This window comes from Homo sapiens, chromosome X (genome assembly GCF_000001405.40).
Source record: "Homo sapiens chromosome X, GRCh38.p14 Primary Assembly".
Taxonomy (NCBI): Eukaryota; Metazoa; Chordata; class Mammalia; order Primates; family Hominidae; genus Homo; species Homo sapiens.
Genome location: NC_000023.11, coordinates 23,116,853 through 23,138,353, shown reverse-complemented (window position 1 = coordinate 23,138,353; position 21,501 = coordinate 23,116,853). Strand labels below are relative to the sequence as shown.

General features: G+C 39.1%; 1 long non-coding RNA gene across 1 annotated transcript in view, besides 1 other annotated feature; it reads left to right on the top strand.

The window, feature by feature from the left end:
- Positions 1–21,501, top strand: part of PTCHD1-AS (PTCHD1 and PHEX antisense RNA) — a 1,100,142-nt gene that overhangs the window by 154,793 nt on the left and 923,848 nt on the right. The gene's annotated exons all lie outside the window — the stretch shown is intronic.
- Positions 437–673: a silencer, noted in NCBI's record as "fragment chrX:23155798-23156034 (GRCh37/hg19 assembly coordinates)". NCBI's record gives its function as "represses an EF-1alpha promoter that drives an FKBP-Casp9 reporter gene in an ReSE screen in both phorbol 12-myristate 13-acetate-treated (for megakaryocytic differentiation) and untreated K562 erythroleukemia cells {active_cell/tissue: K562 | K562(+PMA)}" and the evidence as "EXISTENCE:reporter gene assay evidence [ECO:0000049][PMID:32094911]".

The following is a 21,501-nucleotide window of genomic DNA, read 5'->3' as shown; positions in this document are numbered from 1 at the left end:
GCTACAGCTCCTACCCAGAGAAATATGGACATATTTTCATCTTGAGAAACTTAGCACAGTGTAGATGTGGTTAATATTAACCTATATGCACCAATTTATATATTTTTTGGTGTAATTTAAACCACCAACATGGTTTTCCTTTGAAAACACAAACGTGTGACCCTCTCAAAATTTTCACCCACGCTCGTTGCTTGTGCTTTGGACTCTTGCAAACTCACCTATGAACTAACTTTCCTGACTCTTGGGCTTTGGAATGCTCTTAACTTTTAAGACAAGAGCATATAATTTATTAATACAGTTTGTCAGTTCTACTTTTGTTATTTAAAAAAACACAAGATTTGAAAAAGTTGGTTTGGAAAACAGGGAGAGGCCTCCTTTTCTTTCTTTTCTCTCTTTTTTTTTTTCTTTTGGCAAAACATTTTTCTACTATTCTGGGGATTCCTTTTCCATGATCAAGGTGCATCGTGGAGAATGGGAGGCAGTGCCTCTTTTTTCATGATTTTGTGGGTCAGGAATTCAGTCAGGCTTTAACTAGGTGATTCGTCTTCTCCTTGTGTTGTTGATTGAGGTCGCTCAATGATATTCAGCTGATAGCTAGTTTGGTCTGGAGGGTTCAAGACAACTTCACTCATGTCTAGCCCCTTGGCAGGGATGGTTGCAGACATGGGCTCAGGTAGATCACTTTCCCTTTTTTCTCAGTGCATCTCTAAATGTTCTCTCCATCACAGTAATCAAACTTTCTCCATGGTGACTCAGGGTACCAAGGACCCAAGTCTCCTAAAGGCTGGGCACAGTGTCATTTCCACTATTTTAGCTATTTGGGAAAACAGGCAGAGGCCTGCCCGGATTCAAGGGATGGGGAAATAGGTCCCATCTCTCAATGGGAGGAATAGAAAATAATTTTTATCCCTTTTAATTAATCACAGTTGAAGATATCAAAACTCACTTATAGAAGCTTTGTCTTTCTTAAGTGTGTAGTGTAAGTCTCAAAAGAAAGAGCACAGAAATATCTATAATTACAGAAACGAGCTATATCGTGCCTTAGAACACAGAGTCTGAAGTCAACATGCTAGGACTGAAATCCTTGTTTTGCCACTTTCTAGCTGTGTGACTTGCAGCAAGTTGCATAAACTTTTCATGCCTGAATTTCTTCATTTGGAAAAGGGAATGATGGTATCTACCTTACAGAGTTGAGAGGATTACGTGAAGTAACACATGTAAAGAATTTAAGAGTTATACTTGGGACATGATGAATGTTCTGGGAACAAAGGAGTTCAGCAGCTGGTCTGCATTTCATTTGTCTCTCATTACTGGGGAAACATTCATGGGAAAACAAAGAGACAGGTGACCTGGCCTGATCTCCTTATAAACATGCTAATAAATGATCTCCTGGTGAATAAACTGATGGTGTTTACGAGAGGAATTCATTTCTATGGACTGCTTTTGGCAGGATATCTCTGGTTGAGAATTGCTTGCGGTAAACACATCTAGGGTCCGTGGATTTAAGGAGCATGGCTCCCGGAAAATGTCGTGTAAGCTATGTACCCATCTGGCTGTAAATGGAGATGTTTCATAACCTAAAATATTCCCTGCTATATGAAGTGACTGCATACCTGAGTTGAAGACCTCATCTTTGACCACAAGCCAGTGAGTGCATCTCTAATGTGGGGTGGAAGGGGCTGGGAAGCAAAGCCTATTTGCTGTGTCCTGAACCTCTCCCTGCTTCACCTAGGCCTTTTGAGTGCTTATATCCTTGAAGTTATTAGTAAAGCATGTTGTTGGGGAGACTCTGTGGCTCATGTGAGTCTGATTTGGTAATCTGATCCTTCCTATTAACTCGTGCTCAATAAATGCTAATTAAAACAGTTATGGCCAGGCGCAGTGGCTTACGCCTGTAATCCCAGCACTTTGGGAGGTGAAGGCGGGCGGATCACTTGAGGTCAGGAGTTCGAGACCAGCCTGGTCAACACGGTGAAACCCCGTCTCTACTGAAAATACAAAAATTAGCCGAGTGTGGTGGTGGGCACCTGTAATCCCAGCTATTTGGGAGGCTGAAGTAGGGTAATCACTTGAACCCGGGAGGCAGAGGTTGCAGTGAGCCAAGATTGTGCCACTGCACTCCAGCCTGGGTGACAGAGTGACACTCCATCTCAAAATAAATAAATAAATAAATTAAATAAATAAATAAATAAAGCAGTTATTAAGATAATATACAATTTTAATCTTCGGTTTTATCCCATGGAAAAATGAGGAAGGAGAAGCAGCCTTAAATATTTTTCTGCCTTTCCTAATTTTATTTTAGTTAAATTACTGGAGGCCTGACAGGATTGTATTTACTTGAGAGCAGGGTTATGCTATTCTTTGATGGGTATCCATACTATCTTGGACCGTATACTTATTATATTGCTGATGTGCATTAATTAGATCTTGAGGTAGTTGACATTTATCAAATAGTTCAGGAAGACCAGTTCTTCTATTAAATGATTCATTTCCATGGTTTTTTCAATCATATAATTATCTATTACTTTAAGCCAAAATTCTGAAGTAAGGCTTTGATTTAGAACATGTGTAGGTACAATTTTCATGTTTTCTATGTTGTTGATAATTCCAAATGGTTTCTAATCCAAATACAAGTTCTTTTAGGTTTTGAAATTTGCATTCACATTTGCATATGGGTATGCCAGAGGTCTAAAACTCTCCACTCTTCAAACAAAGACGCACTGATTAAATCCAGCCCAGGAAGAAATCTCTCCAGCTGCTCTAGCTATGCAGTTTACAGGGTACTTTTACATCCATTTACAAAATAATCGTGTGAGGGAGGCAGGGAACCCACCCAAGTCCCCTACCCCATTTCTCTTCCTTCTTGCTGATGACCTTGGATTACTGAATGCTAAAGGCCTCTGCAGAAGATGTATGAGATGGCTCTACTTTCTCTCTGACCTTGTTTCATATCTGAAATAAGTAATTATATAAAGAGGAAGCCTCAAATCCTTCTTCTGCTAGAAGGACACCACTAGAGAAGTGACCAAATTTAGCATGCATGGAATGGAAACAGTGAGAATGCTGTAAGGTAGTACTTGGAGGATATGACTTCACAAACAAAGCAAAGATTCACTGGGGATAAATATAGGAAAAAATTAATATTGTCACAAAGAACCTGAAAACAAAAAATATTTTGGATATGCCGCACTGCAGAGACACACATAACAAAGAATAATAATATCTTACAAAGGTATTTTAGAGATTTACCTCATTTGACCCACCCAGTGACACCAAGAGATGGGCTGGACAAAGAATGTTATTGCATTTTTATTAATGAGAAACCAAGGCTTAGAGAGATTGATATACCCCAGCTCCTGAGGTAAGGAGAGGTGCAACTGGGGTTCTTTGTACTTTTAAACCATGTCTGTCTCTCAAATACAAAAGTCATCACATTAATATGCTGAATGATCAAGTGAATTCAACTGAACCAAATTTTACTGAAGCAGTGTTAGGTACTTTTGGGGATGAACAATATGATTGAGATGCTCTTTCTGTCTTTAAAAATCTTTAAGTTTGAAGATAAAACAAGTGGCGTTCATTCAAATAACCTCAAACAAAGGCAGAATGGTGAAGTATTATACAAGTGACCCGATTTATCTAATTTTTACGTAATATAAATTAGAATCCCTCTATCATAACGATATCCCTTTGGATGTAGGAAAAATGGAATAATGTATACGCTATTTACACTGATGCCAACTTATCACAATAAGAATTATGCTCTTATGTCTGAAAATGAGTGGGACCGTGGCTTAGTTCACTGGTGCATATAAACTAATTCTAGTCCAGGTTGATGAGTAGCTTCCCATTGAAATCTGGCATAAATATTTAGAGAGGTAGTTGGACTAGCTGCTACTAGATATTGTTATCACTGTATGAAGACTGGCTGCTTGAACTAAGTGTGGCTTTGAAATGCAAGTTTGTCCTTATTATGTAAATTGGGCCTCATAGTTCTCAGCTGTTTTCCCTGAGTACACACAAAGCTTCACTGCAAGGTCCAATGAGCTCTCATAGTCTTCTCCAGCTGTCTTGGCAACATTAATTCCTATGCAAGCCAATAGAATATGTTCTGGCTTTGCCTGTAATATTAAAAAAATAGAAAAGCAAAATGAAACTTATGGATGTTAATTAAGATAATGGGACAGGGAATTTCATGTGAAATAATCTTGGATGTAATGATGTGATATCTTATTTGACCCAAGTTTAGCTTTATAAAATAGGAACTTATCAATGAGTTTTAAATCTTGATTATATAATAACATGTGAATAGCATATTATCATGATAGTAACAGTGAAATTGGAAATAAAAACATCTGTAATACATTATTCTGTGTAATAAATGGATGGAGTATTAATAAGAACGAAAAGAAACATGTAAAACCAAATCGTGGTGACTTAAATGAAATAAAAGTTTATTTTTCTCTCGTGTAAAAAAAGTTTAGGGGTGGTGGTCCAGGGCAGATATGCTGGTTTCGCCTGCTCTGCTCTTTTGATCATTCTCCTTACCACGTTAGTTCTTGGCTTCCATATGTGAAAGATGGCTGCTGCAACTTCAATCTTCACAGCCATGTTCTGGGCAGCCGGAAGAAGGAAAGATACATGATGTCACTTGAATCAGTCCCCTTTAATGAGTTCCTAGATGCCCCACCTAGAGACGTTGCTTCTATCTCATTGGCTATCACTATCTATAGTATGCTGAGAATTGCGGGCTTCCTCACTCTTTTCCTTCTTCCTCCCTCTGTCTCTTTAAATTGTCCTCTCTTTCTTCCTTCATATATTGGTGTCATTAGTAATTCAAGGTTTCTGTTATGAGGAAGAAGAGTGAATGTGCAGTAGGCAACTAATAGTCTCTGCTACTGGTAGACTTTTATTTAATAAGTTATTGCTTCTTCTAAACATTAGTGAATACGAAAGTTTACAAGGGATAAGAGAAAATGATTTCTATTAAGGCTTAGTATTGACTCCTTTGGGACCAAAGATGTGCTCACCAAATATCTTGGGATTGGAATGATGAGTAACCTTGTTCTTTTTTCTGGTTTTCTCTTGCTTTTTTTTTTTCCTACCAGTATGGTCGCAATTTATTTTATTTTATTTTATTTTATTTTTGAGACTGACTTTCGCTCTTGTTGCCCAAGCTGGAGTGCAATGGTGCGATCTCGGCTCACTGCAACCTCTGCCTCCTGGGTTCAAGCGATCCTCCTGCCTCAGCCTCCCGAGTAGCTGCGATTACAGGCGCGCACCACCACACTCAGCTAATTTCTTGTATTTTTAGTAGTGATGGGGTTTCACTGTGTTGGTTAGGCTGGTCTCGAACTCCTGACCTCAGGTGATCCGCCCACCACGGCCTCCCAAAGTGCTGGGATTACAGGTGTCACCCACCACGCCCGGCCGGTCACATTTTATTATTATTATTATACTTCAAGGATTGTTTTTTACAGTCCTATGACCGCTCTCTCTCATAAAATGAATTTCTTTGTTTTGTATAGTTCATCGTTGTTCAGAAAATACATTTGCATCTACTGTTTAATTTTTGCCCACTCACCAACCCTACTATGCTGGAGCTGACAGAACAGGAATTATTATCTCAATTTTACAGCTGAGGAAACTGAGTCTCAGAGTTTTAGTGACTAACTCAAGGTCATCCAGGTAGTAAGTAGTGGGCTTGAGATTTGAAACAAATTATTCTATTTCTGAAACCACTTTTCTCTCCTTTACACCAAGTTACATTTCATTTTCTATTTTTTTTTTTTTTTTTTTTTTTGAGACAGAGTCTTGCTCTTGTTGCCCAGGCTGGAGCACAGTGGTACAATGTCAGCTTACTGCAGCCTCTGCTTCCCAGGTTCAAGCAATTCTCCTGCCTCAGCCTCCCGAGTAGCTGGCATTACAGTCGCCCGCCACCACGCCCGGCTAATTTTCGTATTTTTAGTAAGCTATGTTGGCCAGGCTGGTCTCGAACTGCTGACCTTGTGATCCGCCTGTCTTGGCCTCCTAAAGTGCTGGGATTACAGGTGTGAGCCACCATGCCCAGCACATTTCCTTTTCAATAGGTCTCCCTAGTGGCTTGTCCCAGTTGCTTTCCTTGAGCCTGTTTAATTGTAATTATTCATTACTGAGCTCCCTCTGCTTCCCTGGAGTCCACATTGTTGTCTCTTACACTATGTCATATCCTTTTGTGTCCCAAGTGAAGACTGTGGTCAGTTAACCCTGAACATAGATTTTTGGGGTAGACTTGGAGGATTGGTTGTTCCCTCAAGGACTTTGAAACCTCCGCTATTTATATGTTTTTAGAAGTTAATAGAAACAGGACCAAATAAAGACATGGCATGCCTAAAAATGATACTTGTGCAAAATGCCTGAAGTTAGACTTGGTCAGGGAAATTGTTAGATGAACAGATGACCTGTGTCACTTCCCCTTGTCCATGGAGGGGACCACGTTTCAAAGGATTTCACTAGGTTAGTGGATTATGTTTGCTTTCCCAGAACAGAAAACTACTGGATTGATATCCTACCAAAAGATAGAAATGAAACCAATTTTCTCAAGCTTACTTAAAACTAACTTTCAGCTCTCTGACTCTTGTGTTTAGAATACTGGCTTTAAATACCACTTCAGAAATCAGGAAAAAGCATGCAAATTGAACAGTGTTTTGCATCTGTGCTCATGCTCCTGCCACTGGTAATCAGAACTTGACTGTTACAAGAGGACAAGGACTGAGAGATTATGAAACACTTTTACTACTTAGGGAAACGAGGAATCAGTGAAAAATCATCTTTCCCAAATTCACCTTCAATATGTGTATGGTGTATTTTGCATTCATTTCCTAGAAGTTTCTGGGACATACTTGTTTGTTTTCCTGGATTATGCAATGCTGTTTGTGAAGGGTATCTTCCTTCCAGGCATGAAGTGGATTATGGCTATAAATGTTGTCTGTTTTTTAATGAAATTGTCATAGATCCAGTGTCTTTACTAATACTAGAGATAAGCCAGGCATGCCATTGAGTCACATGCTTCTTTCCAACCTACCTTGTATAGTATGGTAGCTGGAGGGTGGGACGATGAAGACAGAGGTTTCAAATAAGAGATTTTCATTTAAATAGCAGCAAGTTATAGTGATAATATTTGATAGAATGAAAATACCACTTGATGGTGCATTTCAGGCATATGGATACAAATAATGAAATGGTCAGGCATTCTGCTAGAGTATACTTCCACATTTGCATCCAAATCACCTCTATGAAGTTAAGCAACTTTCAGGAGTGCAAAAATCCATGACTCCAAAGGTTGCCCATTCACATAATAGACTATGAATATTGTACCCTAGATTTGTATAATGAACAACTTAGACAACTTTATGTAGTGACTCTCTCATATTCTACAAGTCCCGTGAAATGCAAAGTAACTTTCGGGATAGGAAATCCGTACATTGTTGTCATTCCAGTGATTACCTATGCTTTCTGACAAGAAACATTGCAACAAAAATGAGTGTCCAGAAATTATAATGATTTTAGCTCTTTTTCCCCTTGAATTTCTATAATATATAACAAATAATAGGAATAGAAACAAAAAAATAAGAAAAGGAAATATTACAATGTGAAGTCTTTTTATTTTCTCTCTGTAATTTATCCATTTTTCCTAATGTTTTTGCAGACAAGAATTAAAAATACAAACCATTTAAGTAATAGCCAGAGGGTTGGGTGAGGTGCATTGAAAAGTAGGTAACACCACTTTTTTTTTTTGAGACAGAGTTTCATTCTTGTTGCCCAGGCTGGAGTGCAATGGCGCGATCTTGGCTCACTGCAACCTCCGCCTCCCAGGTCCAAGCGATTCTCCTGCCTCAGCCTCCCAAGTAACTGGGATTACAGGCATGTACCACCACACCCGACTAATTTTGTATTTTTAGTAGAGATAGGGTTTCTCCATGTTGGTCAGGCTGGTCTCGAACTCCCGGCCTCAGGTGATCTGCCCACCTCCGCCTCCCAAAGTGCTGGGATTACAGGCGTGAGTCACTGCGCCCGGCCAACACCACATTTACACTCCTCTTTTGGAATTGATGAGTATTGAAGACGTGGTGCATGGGGGCACAAGGAGTTGTTGCCTCCCTACAGCAAAACATTGCTAGCACCCCAGTGCGTTTCACGGTTTCTCTTCATTGTGTTCCTGTATTTTTTATCAGCAATATTTCAGTGATCTCATTCAGAATACAAATATGCTTATTTTTGTAACTCCCCAGTACCTAGTACAATGTTTTCCAAGAATAAACACTCAAATTGTTTATATTTTTATTCAAGCAGTAAATGGAAATGTATATATAAATCCACATAGCAGGATTCTCTAGGCCATGTCAAATTGCCAGAGATTCAGTAAGTTGAATGGTACATTATCCCTCCCTCTCATAGTATGTTTTTCTGGCACCTTGATATGTTACTGATAATAGCTTGATTGTGTGAATTCTTAAAAAAAAATTATTCCACCTGGAAATTTTATTTGCGATAACATTCTTTCAATTGCCCATCCATCACTTTCACTGAATAAATTATACAATATCTGAACCAAAAAGGATTTTAATCCATAATGCTCATTATACTATTAATTGGACTAGAAATCAGGGCCTTGGTTATCATGTTTTATCTCTTAATGACTTCATTGAGTGTTTCTCTTAAAGCAAAAAAGATCCCTTCGTTCATTAGATTGCATGCCCTAGAATCAGAAATTCCCTTTGTTCTATTAATACAGGGAAGAAAAAAATATGCATTGAACAAGAAGTCACCTTTACAGTTTTCAGATCCAGGGAACGAGGGGAAGGTCAAGTGGAGCAAACACACTGGTTATGGTTTGGTAGGTTGCAGGAAACCTGTGTTGATGAAAAGAATCAAACTCTGTAAAATATTTGAAGAGATTTATTCTGAGCCAAATATGAGTGACCGTGGCCTGCGACACAGCCCTCAGGAGGTCCTGAGGACACGTGCCCAAGGTGGTTGGGGTGCAGCTTGGTTTTATACATTTTAGGGAGGCATGGGACATCAATCAAATACATTTAAGAAATACTTTGGTTTGGTCCAGAAAGGCAGGACAACTCAAAGTTAGGGGGTGGGGCTCCAGGCTCCAGGTAAATTTACACATTTTCTGGTTGACAATTGGATGAGTTTGTCTAAAGACCTAGGATGATAGAAAGGAAATGTTCAGGTTAAGACAAAAGATTGTGGAGACCAAGGTTCTTTTGAAGTCTTACAGTGGTTGCCCTTAGAGAGAATAGATGACAGATGTTTCCTCCTCAGACCTTTAAAAGGTGCTAGACTCTTAGTTAATCTCTTCAGGGCTGGGAGGGCCTGGAAGAAAAAGATCTGGCAATGTTAATGGAGATTCTTTACAGATGCAGATTTTCCCCCACAAAAGACAGCTTTGCAGGGCTGTTTCAAAATATGGCAAAGACGGGGCAGGGCGCGGTGGCTCACGCCTGTAATCCCAGCACTTTGGGAGGCTGAGGCAGGCGGATCACCTGAGGTCAGGAGTTCGAGACCAGCCTGACCAACATGGTGAAACCCCGTCTCTACTAAAAATAGAAAAACAAACATTAGTCGGGTGTGGTGGCGCGCGCTTGTAATCCCAGCTATTTGGGAGGCTGAAGCAGGAGAACTGCTTGAACCCGGGACACGGAGGTTGCAGTGAGCCGAGATTGCATCATTGCACTCCAGCCTGGGAGAGAAGAGCAAAACTCCGTCTCAAAAAAAAAAAAGGCAAAGAGGCCGCGGCAGCTCACTCCTGTAATCCCAGCACTTGGGAGGCTGAGGCGGCTGGATCATGAGGTCAGGAGTTTGAGACCAGCCTGGCCAACATGGTGAAACCCCATCTCTACTAAAAATACAAAAAATTAGCCAGGTGTGGTGGTGGGCACCTGGAATACCAGCTACTTGGGAGGCTGAGGCAGGAGAATTGCTTGAACCCTGGAGGCGGAGGTTGCAGTGAGCTGAAATTGCGCCATTGCACTCCAGCCTGGGTAACAAGAGTGAAACTCTGTCTCAAAAAGAAAAACAAACAAACAACAACAAATATATATATATATATATATACAACAACGAATATATATTTATTTATATTTATATATATATGGCAAAGAAACATGTTTTGGGATAAAATACTTGGACTTTCTTCTTTGTCACGTAATGTTATGCCAGAGTCAGACTGGAAAGTAAGTAATGATATATAGGTTTAAATAAAAGCCATCTGATGAGAATTTATGGTTGGTAGGGCATGTCTCCCCAGATCCCTTAGATAGGAATCTCGGCAAGATAAAAGAAATCAGAGCTTAGTTCTCACCTGCACGTTATCCAGGGGGTTTCTTTCCTCTTCTCTGGAGCTCTTTCCCACTATTTTGCTCAGTGTGAGATAATTGCTCATTGCTGTTTGCCATAAACTCTATGGATCCCTGCCAATAGCACTACAGATGGAGCAGGATGGCCTCTATCAAAGCAGGTGAGAGAAACTCCCATGAGGGAGGCCAATGTGTCATTTCCTGGGACTGAAAGGTCAGTATTCCCCTTATTTACCGTTCCCCAGCAGGCTGCTCTGCAGGTCACCTGGCAAATGCACTTTTCCTCCTTAGATCCAGTCTGAATGTACTCACAAATGGCACTCTAAAAATGGCATGCCACACATAATTGCGTGTGTCCGTTGCCAATCGATTTTGTGGGTGACCAGTCAGCTTCTTTGATGAGGGTGCAGAGTAAATGCTACCAAGGTTACTGGTTGATTTCTCCTTTATGGTTACATATTGGATCACCATCAGGCCTGAGTTGTTAGACCGAAGGACAAGTGCCAGTAGAAGATGCAATACCACACGGCAGGAAAACACAGTATCTAGGTGTTTTGACAAGTGGGCAGAACATCACGATAAATAATCTGGAAAGAGAGATGAAGTCAAGCAGGCTACATATTTCCACCTACTTTGCTGAATTTTATATCAGGAATAACCAAAGCCACTGGAGCAGGAGCTAGTAGCACAGTCTCCTGGAGGTTCTGAGACATTAGTATGATTATGAAAACAGGGTTGAAGGCAGATGTTCGGTTATCACAAATGGGATATTAATATGGGAATTGAAACAAGGTGAGTCAAAGGCTCCACACTGGGTCCCAATGTCACGGCTGAGACTGTGCTGCTGTATTTTTTTTGCACCTAGGACTTGAGAGAGGGCTTGGCCTTCATGTGGAAATCAGTGGTTCTTAGATGACGGAAGAGGAATGCAACTTTTGGGAATCAGGCTGGACTCAAGAGACCCTGCCTAATGGAGGTGCAAATAGGTGTCCTCAGCCATAGGGAGATGGATAAGCATGCGTGTAGTTAGAGATTCTCAAATGTGAGCATGCAACAAATCACGTCTTGTTGGACACAGAACACTGGGCTCTACCCCAAGACTTTCTCACTCAGGGGGACTGAAAAAATTGCATTTCTAATGCATTTACAGCTGATGCCGATGCCCATGTTCCAGTGCCCACACATTGTTTGTCACTGATGTAGACTAATGCATTTCTTCATTACTGGAAGAGTAACAGAAGAATCTATCCTGGCTTCTAGTTCCAGAAGGCAGACTAGACCTAGGTGTTTTTTTTTGTTTGTTTGTTTTGTTTGTTTTTTGTTTTTTGTTTTTTGTTTTTGCCCTCCGTGCTGAGAGGGCAATAAAATAATAGTAAAGGAATAAGCCCCAAATATGGAAGAGAATCTCAGATTTTAGAAGAAAGAAATGTATGCCATCCAAGAAAGAGGATGTATGTGTGTTGACAGACAAAACAAAGTGGAAAACAGCAGGCTAGGAAATGCAGCAGGAGTCTGTAAGAAGAGGGAAAGTTGATTTTCCCAGATGATTCTTGGAGAGTTCTAGGCTCATAGTTAGCAGGAATAATGGAAGTTGGCAGTTGGAAAGGTAACGTTAAAAGAGAGTGGATGTGGGGGAAGTATTATACAAAACATTAGCTACAGAATGGATTGTACCAGTTGACTCACCATAATCCAATATCTCACCCTCACACTGTTCATTCAGGCAGAGGGTAAGTCATTCAGCTTTTTACTCTTAGATAAAATAAAAAACATATGAAATGGCATGGTAGCTCATACCTGTAATTCCAGTGATTTAGGAGGCCAAGGCAGGGGAATTGCTTGAGGTCAGGAGTTCAAGAACAGCCTGGGCAACATAAAAAGACCCTGTCTCCACAGAGAAATGGAAAAAAGTAGGCCAGGCGTGGTGGCTCACGCCTGTAATCCCAGCACTTTGAGAGGCCGAGGCACCTGAGGTCAGGAGTTCAATTTTGAGGCGGATCACCTGAGGTCAGGAGTTCAAGATCAGCCTGGCCAACATGGTGAAACCCTGTCTCTACAAAAATACAAAATTAGCCAGGCATGATGGCAGGTGCCTGTAATCCCAGCTACTCGGGAGGCTGAGGTGGGAGAATCACTTGAACCCAGGAGGTGGAGGTTGCAGTGAGCCGAGATCACGCTATTGCACTCCAGCCTGGGGGACAGAGTGAGACTCCGTCTCAAAAAAAAGAAAGGAAAAAGTTAGCTGGGCACGGTGGCCTGTACCTGTAGTCCTGGCTACTCGGGAGTCTGAGGTGAGAGGATCACTTGAGCCCAGCAGTTCGGATTGATAGTGAGCTACAATCCCGCCACTGCACTCTAGCCTGTGTGACAGAGCGAGATCCTGTCTCAAAAACAAAATGAACCAAAAAAACATATGAACAAACTTGACAAACTGGAAATACTTTTATTTAATAAAAACGAAAAAATTTCCTGGGAAGAAATAAGACTACTGTGGTGTAGGCTGGTATCCCTATTCTCAAAATTGGAGGCCTTCTAAAATGCAATCTCCCAGTTAACAATCCCCATCTATGTGCAAAGAATCTTTATCCAGTAAAAAGTCTAGCAGGGTAAGATCTACATGTAGGCCACCAACTGACTTTAATTATGAAAGCATAACCAAAGACCAGCAGACATGTGACAAAAACAGCAACAGATTAAGAGATAACAGAGATCAGAGACCAGTTGATCCTGGAAAAAACAGGTGGTTCTGGAAACAGATTAACACATGAAAAGTCTATAGTTAGTATCCTCAGAGTGATGAGGAGATACTGACTATAACACAAAAGCAAATAAGTATGGAAAAGAAAATGAAAGAGTAAGAAAGAGCTCTTAGGCATTAAACATGATTGCCAATGTATAATTTCAAATAGGAGTTTTAGAAGATGGAGCCAATGACGTCTCAGAATAGAGAGAAAATCTGTAGCAAATGTGAGAAAAGATAAACAACGCGTAGGATATATGTGGGAGAACTAACATCTAGCTAATAGCAGTTCTAGAGAGAATGGAAAATAAAGGGGAAGAAATAAAGACATACTGGAAATTCATTTCCTAAAGCTGCAAAAAAGATACATGCATTATATTGAAAGGATCCAATGAATATGGAGAAATGAATGGAAAAAGACATTATAAATGTTTAATTTATACACATTATAATTTAATTAAATGTAATTTACACACATTATAAAATTTTAGGACACAGTAGATAAAAGAAGATCCTAGAAGGTTTGAGGGCAGGGGCAGGAATTTACCTGCAGAAAATGTATGAAATCACATTTCTCTGTAGCGCTCTGGAAGATCAGAGACAATGGAAAGACTAATAAAAGGAAAGACAATTTTCAATTTAGAAAGTGAAACCCTTCCAAGAAGACTAAAATTAATACTACCCCAAATTGGAAGGAGGATAGAGTGAGATAAATTTTATAAAGAGTTGGGAAGAGAATTACTAGAAAAAAATAAAAATTAAACCTATTATTAAAAGTTTGCTTCTGGAGAGTGGGACTGATGTGTGTCTGTGCATGGCAGAGGGTAGGAGTCATTTTTCATTATAAATCCTTCAGATTATTTTATTTTTTACTCAGGGCATGCGTTACTTGTCCAAATTTTAAAAGAATAAACAAAATCCAAATGTTCTTTGCCACTGAAAGGGGACTGCAGTTTTAAGATAACATGCATGATGAACACACAATTTTTATTATGAATTCTTCCATGAAAGAAGCATTGGCTGAAATAGCTGCCTGTTCTAAAAAAAAAAAAAATCTAAAGATTACAGTGCAGACCTAGCTGTTTATATAAGCAACAACAGTCCCTTTTCCAGCTCTGTTAAGCTCATCTGCTTAGCTGTATAAGAAGTCAGGAGTCAAATTAAAGAGAGGCACTTTATTTTCATCCTATGATAAGTGGGCTCAAAGCTTAGTATACTTTTGCAAACTCATAAAAGATGCAAATACAAATGTGAAAACATTGCAATATTGATTGCCAGTACTTAAAATGAAACTGTACATCACTAAATAAGCTTTTTACAAAATATATGGCAAATAAGAGAATGATTTATCATAAGATCAAATTGCACATACCCTGAGTTATGGAGCATATTGTTCGGTAACAAGTGTGGCTTCAGAAAAGCAAGCATTCTCAAATCGAATTTCCTTCTATGACAGAGAGACAGGCTTGGTAAATGAAAGAGAGGTGATAACAGTAATCTCAAATGACTGGAAGAAAACTCATATAGATGGAAGGGAACACTGTGCATGCTAGATGGCTATGAACTGCTACCCATTTTCCTGAGGAATATAATTCAGATTGGGGTGTATTCATGCACTGCTATCCCCTAGATAGATTGTTAAGTGGGATCCTTTAATGGTTAGTTTGGGAATAAGTTCTTTGATATTCTCGTGGGTGATAGAGTACGGGATGTTCCTTAAAAGAACAGTGAAAAATAAGCTGAGCAGAGGGTGAGAGTGAACAGAAACCTTTGACAAGGTCTATAGGTAACTCTGTTCGTTGGCCAGTTCTGTTCCTATTTCTGACCAGTTTGACACAATTGAGTAATTTACATGTTAAATGGATGACTATAATAATGGTTGCACTGGCACATGTAGACATAAGTATCAGAATTTAAAGTGAAGCTGGTACACTGGAGAAGTCACTGGCGGAAAGAATGACCAGGGCAGGAATAAAATAGGCCCAGAGAGAAAGAGCAGGGAACATCTGTTTAGATATAAGGAAATCAGGAAATGATACCTGGATTCTAACAAGTAACAAACTGACCACAATACAGGGAGACAGACTTACATGCTTAATTGAGTGCTGTGTGATTCGTTACTTATAAAACATAAAGGATAGGGGAGGACATTGCTAGGGTTCATGTGAAAACAAAGAAAGAAAGTTAAGACCTGTGACGAGAGGACGAAGAAAGTGAAATGCTTCAGAATAAAGGAGAGAACACCTGAGGAGGATTTAAATATGGTCTTCAGAAATATGATGAAATTTTTCACGGAGCATGGATATCCTTTTCTACTGAGGACAACACAGTAGGACATAGTTAAAATTTAGGAAGAAACTCCTGCTATTATTGCCAACGTATAACAGAGATCATTTGAGCCTCTTCTGATATTTGAATAATATGGCAGATGGCATTCCCAACATTAACAATTCAGGATTGCTTGTCATATATATATGACAAAGATATAAGAAATTGGTGCCGGGCGCAGTGGCTCACCCCTGTAATTCTAGCAGTTTGGGAGGCCAAGTCGGGAGGATCACCTGAGGTCAGGAGTTTGAGACCAGCCTGGGCAACACGGTGAAACCCCGTCTCTACTAAAAAATACAAAAAAATTAGCCGGGCATGGCGTCGTGCGCCTGTAGTCCCAGCTATTCAGGAGGCTGAGGCAGGAGAATGGCTTGAACCCGGGAGGCGGAGGTTGCAGTGAGCCGAGATGACGCTACTGCACTCCAGCCTGGGCGACAGAGCGAGACTCCGTCTCCAAAAGAAAAAAGAAATTGGATCACACAGTTATGAAAGCTGACATGTCCCAAGATTTGAAATTAGCAAGCTGAAGGCCCAGGAGAGTCAATGGAGTAATTCAGTTCAAATGCTGGCCGGCCTGAGACCCAGAAAGAGCTGATGTTTCAGTTTGAGTCTGAAGAGAGGAAAGAACCAATGACCCAACTCAAAGCAGTCAGGCAGCAGGAGTTTCCTCTTATTCAGCCTTTTCATTCTATGTAGGTCTTTAATTAATTGGATGAGGCCCACCCACATTAGTAATATTCTCTGGTTGCTCAGATGCAAGATTAAGACAGGGCAAGTACTGGGAATAGCAATTGTTATTTCTATTAGGAAATATTGGAGGCAATTGGATTAATATGCACACAATAATGCTTTATAAAAATACTGTATGAAACTTAAAGTTTCAGACAAATGTTAGTGGCATATAATGATGTTAGAGAAGTAGATCAAATTATTTTCTGGCTCAGTGTACGCATTTTGAAGTCATCTAGAGAAACATGAATACAAAGAGCAAGTCAATAGCATCAAAAAATGAACACAGAGTGATAGAGAATGATATAAAATCAATCATAACATTAAATGCAAATAAGAAAGGTCAACAGCTATATTAAAATACAAAATCACAACAAGACATATAAGATGAATGTGGATTTATACACAAAAAATAATTGGATCACTAAGGTCTGTTCGTTAATGTAGAATATGAGGCTAAGAGTTGTTATTTTGGTATTGGAGAAAGTAAATTTTACAAGCAAATTGATTATCACAGTAAAAGATAAACAACCCAAACCAAAATGTTGAATTCACGTGTAACAACTATAGTACCACAAACATTTAAAAAAATAAAAAAATAAAAAACCTGGACAGATTTCTGAGTGTCATTAGAGACGTTTACTCTGCTCACGTGTCACTTTCCTCTTTGACATTCATATTTTTTATCCACTTTCCCGTCACTTGATATTACACCCACAAATCTACCTCAGTATAGTATTATTCCTCTAATGCTGGTTCTCAGGAACCCTTCCCCATAATTGGGATCTGTTTATTCTCAGAAAAAAATAAAGAAAACAAAGACTTGAAGTAGAAATTACATTATTTAACCATGCAAAAAGAAAAAGAAAATTTTATTTTAGGGTAGAATAATATATTTTATTGTTAAGTCTGCATAAATTTTTTAAATAGAGAATAATCACAGTGGCCGGGCATGGTGGCTCACACCTGTAATCCCAGCACTTTGGGAGGCCGAGGCTGGTGGATCGCCTGAGGTCAGGAGTTTAAGACCAGCCTGGCCAACATAGTGAAACCCCGTCTCTACTAAAAATACAAAAAATTAGCTGGGCATGGTGGCGGGTGCCTGTAATCCTACCTACTCAGGAGGCTGAGGCGGGAGAATCGCTCGAACCCGGGAGGCGGAGGTTGCAGTGAGCCGAGATTGCACCATTGCACTCCAGCCTGGGCAACAAGAGCGAAACTCCATCTCAAACAAAAAAAAAAAAAAAAAAGAAGAAAAAAAAGAAAATAATCACATATGTGGACACAGAGACACTAAGATAACAAAAGTAATTGTGGTTTTTGTCATTACTTTCAATGGCAAAAACTGCAATTATTTTTGCACTAAACCAATACTACATTTTAAGATCAGTAGAAATGTTAAAAGTTGTAACACAGGACATCCACATGGAAATGGAGCGCTCTCTAAATAATTTCTGGATCAAGAAGGAAATCCAGTACAATAATAGCAATAAAAAACATAAATGTAACATCAAAATTAATGTGTATCAGTAAGTACGGTTAAATTCCTTTCTCTCTGAATATGCATAGTAATAAGATAAGAAATATAAAAAGAGAATAAGAAATACAAAAACAATGAATTCAGAACACAGAAAACACAGAAAAATAACATAAAATACAGAAAAAATAAAAATAAAAGAATAAGGAAAGGGACAAACTACACTGAAATACATACATAAAATAGAAAACTATGAAGAGATTGAGAACTAGTAGATAATTCATGACCAAAATTGACAAAATGTATACATCAGTGGCTCAATTAATTAAAAAATAAATAAATCACAAATAAAAATATAAAAATCGCATACTATGTAATGCAGTACAACTACTATCCATAGGAAAAAAAACGAAGAATTTGTCAAAGATCTATCCCTAAAGTAGCCACCAGATCCATATAGTTTGCATGAAATTTCTACCAAATCATTAAGGAATACATAATTTGCGTGTTATAGAAACTTTCAGCATAAATCAGTGAGATAAAAACAATGAAAATACCATTCACTGAAGTATGAAGTCAAACAAAAGAGCGGACAGCTTAGGGCGGAGGAGATGATGAATTTGGTTGTTAATATGCTGAGGTTGAAAAGCTTGTTGGACGCCGTGTTTGGAGATTTTAGTGGGATATTGGCTATTCATTCATTTATATGTGGACTATTTTTTGAAAGCCTCTGTGTCAGGCACTGAATACAAAATGGTCTGCATTCTTAAAAGACTATTATGTAATGAAGGAGACAAACAATGGACAGGTATGAACAATACATTGCTGAAAATGTTATGTTATATAGGGCTGCAGCTTATTGTGGTGAGTAAGTGAGAGAAACTTACATAGTGGTATCAGGGCTGTAAGACGTCATCTGGCTTTAGAAATGGTCTGATCTGTTAAACATTAGTCTAATGTGCAGTGCCTAAAGAAGCTGCAGCAAATGAGTCTATTAGAGACACCCAAATTAGCCACTCTGTCGAGAACAAGGGGAATATTATGGTCGGTTTGTTTCTCTCGACTTTAACAGATCTTTGGATATTGGCTAAGGGGATTGGGGTGGGACCTAATCCTGGGGAGAAGTGACTGCACACAGGCAAGAAAATTGCAAAAATTCCTATTGTCTTACTTTGGATTCTCCCAAATTAGACCCAGAGATAAGGATACATGTGCAGATTATTTATTTGCAAGGTGATCTGAAGAACTATGGTGAGAGACTGGGGAAATAAGAGAGGGAAAAAGAGGAAAGTCAATAAAATAGAAGAAAGCCTGTGGTCCATTGGGCTCAGACCCGGAGTTGGGGGGTCCTCTCAGAGCAGGCCCAGCAGGCGTCTACAACCAAAGAATGCCTGCGGGCAGGAAACATGGGATGCAGTTTATGTAGGAACTCACCTAGGAGAACTCCCGGGGAAGCCCTGGGGCTAGAGTTGGGCACTGGTAGCTTCTGTAAAATATCTCCAGCAAGACTCCTGTTTCATTAAGGAAAAGGGTTAAACAAACAGAAATTATGCCAGAACCTCTGTTATATGAATGGTGAAGACGTTGGTGGTGGTGGGATTTGGATTTTGAGGGAAACTGCAGTTTGGTGAGTGTGTTGACCACAAGCATTCATTTTAGGCACACCTCATACCTAACTCATAACCGCAAGACAAATTTCATTCTCCAGCATTCAAGGGTCTGAGTCTGTTGACTCAGTGGTCTATAATTGAATGGAGGCCAGAAACATAATTGATTTGTCTTTGTATTCTCAGTGCCTGATGTATTCTCAGATACTTAATATGTGTTTGTTGAATTGAATTGTTATCGTCCTCTTGGTTAGAAAGCATACGGGGCTGTATCTACTGACAGGAGTTGGGAAAAACCCGGATGACACGTTTTAGTTATGATTACATACAGAGGTGAATTGTCAATCAGATTTATACAAGACAGAGATCTTACCCAGAACTGTGATTTGCCAATGATTAGCAAAGGATACCCAAAAGAAGCCGCAGTGAACAGCACATTGATATTGAAATGCTCCAGGTCCATGAGCTGCAGCTTCCTAATCCCCTTTCCATGTCAGTGTATGTTGGTGTGGAATAACAAGGACAACTGTGAGTGGTAAAAGTTAGCCCAAGAAATTCACTTAGTTTTGGGGCCTCTTGTTTTTGTATTCTGCTAGCCATATAGCCAGAAGGCCTAGGTTGCATTCTTCAGTCAGCTCATTAATACATAAACTAGTTATTTAGAAGAAACAATCCAAACAGATCAAGTATACTGTGAGAAAAGAACTCTTTAGATAAGATCTGGAGGAGTTTATCTTCTAGCTAGTAAATTCTTTCAGTGTTTTAATAAAGAGGTCTGGTTGGGATCAAAACCAATTAAAATATCCCTAAGGTGAAAGGAGTCAAATTACAGATCCACTGTTAACCCTTTTATTCCCTACCGTGGATCCAGAATTCTTAAATACAATTTTAGCATACATAATGTTATTACATTAGAATCATTTTCCATTTTGACCGTAATTCCAGTGAAAATTGAGCTTGATAAGAGCAAAGACTTCATCTGCTTACTTCACCGGTGCATCTCCACCAGTGCTGACAGCAGAGCTCAGCAAAAGTTTGTTGAATGAATACATGAATGAACCCCGGCATTATTTATGGTTTACCTTTGCAGTTTATCACACACTAAAATGTAAAATATTACGTAACTATTTTAGTATATGCCAAAAACCATACAAAACATCTCTTATTAATTTAAACTGAAAATCAAATATTCACAGATTGTATTTTTTTTTTTTTTTTTTTGAGACGGAGTTTCACTCTTGTTACCCAGGCTGGAGTGCAGTGGTGCAATCTCAGCTCACTGCAACCTCTGCCTCCCAGGTTCAAGTGATTCTCCTGCCTCAGCCTCCCGAGTAGCTGGGATTACAGGTATGTGCCCTCATGCCCGGCTAATTTTGTATTTTTAGTAGAGACGGGATTTCTCCCTGTTGGTCAGGCTGGTCTTAAACTCCTGACCTCATGTGATCCACCAGCCTCAGCCTCCCAAAGTGCTGGGATTACAGGCATGGGCCACTGCACCCGGCCTGCACAGATTGCATTTAAAACCTAGAAATGACATGAAAAACAATGGAGTTGACTGTAAGAGAGATCTTTGGGATTGCCATTTGAAACAACTCTCATTAGACATAACATTGGAAGTGTAGGCAATAGCCCCATGCAAAGAAAAGCAACATTAAAGGTAGATCAATAAAAGGGAAAACAAATCATTTTTTACGAATTTTAAGAAAACTTGTCTGCTTAGACTCTTCCAGTATATTGACCAAATAAGTTATGAGAATTCACAAATATTCACACTGATATATTAATGAAGGATGACTTGAAGATACAATAAATAAAAAATCAATTCACAATACCTTTAAAATAATTTTGATGTAATACAATTTAGTGCACATGGAATTTATTACACAATAAAATAAAACACTATGAAAGAATGAAGGAAAACATGGACAAATAAGGTTGTATATCATAACTACAGTAGAGATGGAAATTTTTCCAAGCTATTTTACAGATAACATAATCTAATTGGTATCTTCATAGGATAATTCATAAATTTTAAATGAAACAATACTGATTTTCACCTGCAAGAATACATGGCTAATACTAATACATATTTTAAAAAAATGTAATGATGGTGGTTGGTCCCAACAGACTTAACAAATATATTCAAACTTTAAAGTATATTCTAAATAGACAGAACTGACTGGTATTGAGTTATATATAAAACAACTGAATGGCAGAGGATAGTAGAGCTTACTAAAATATTCAAATTACTATGTTTATCAGGGTGAGGAA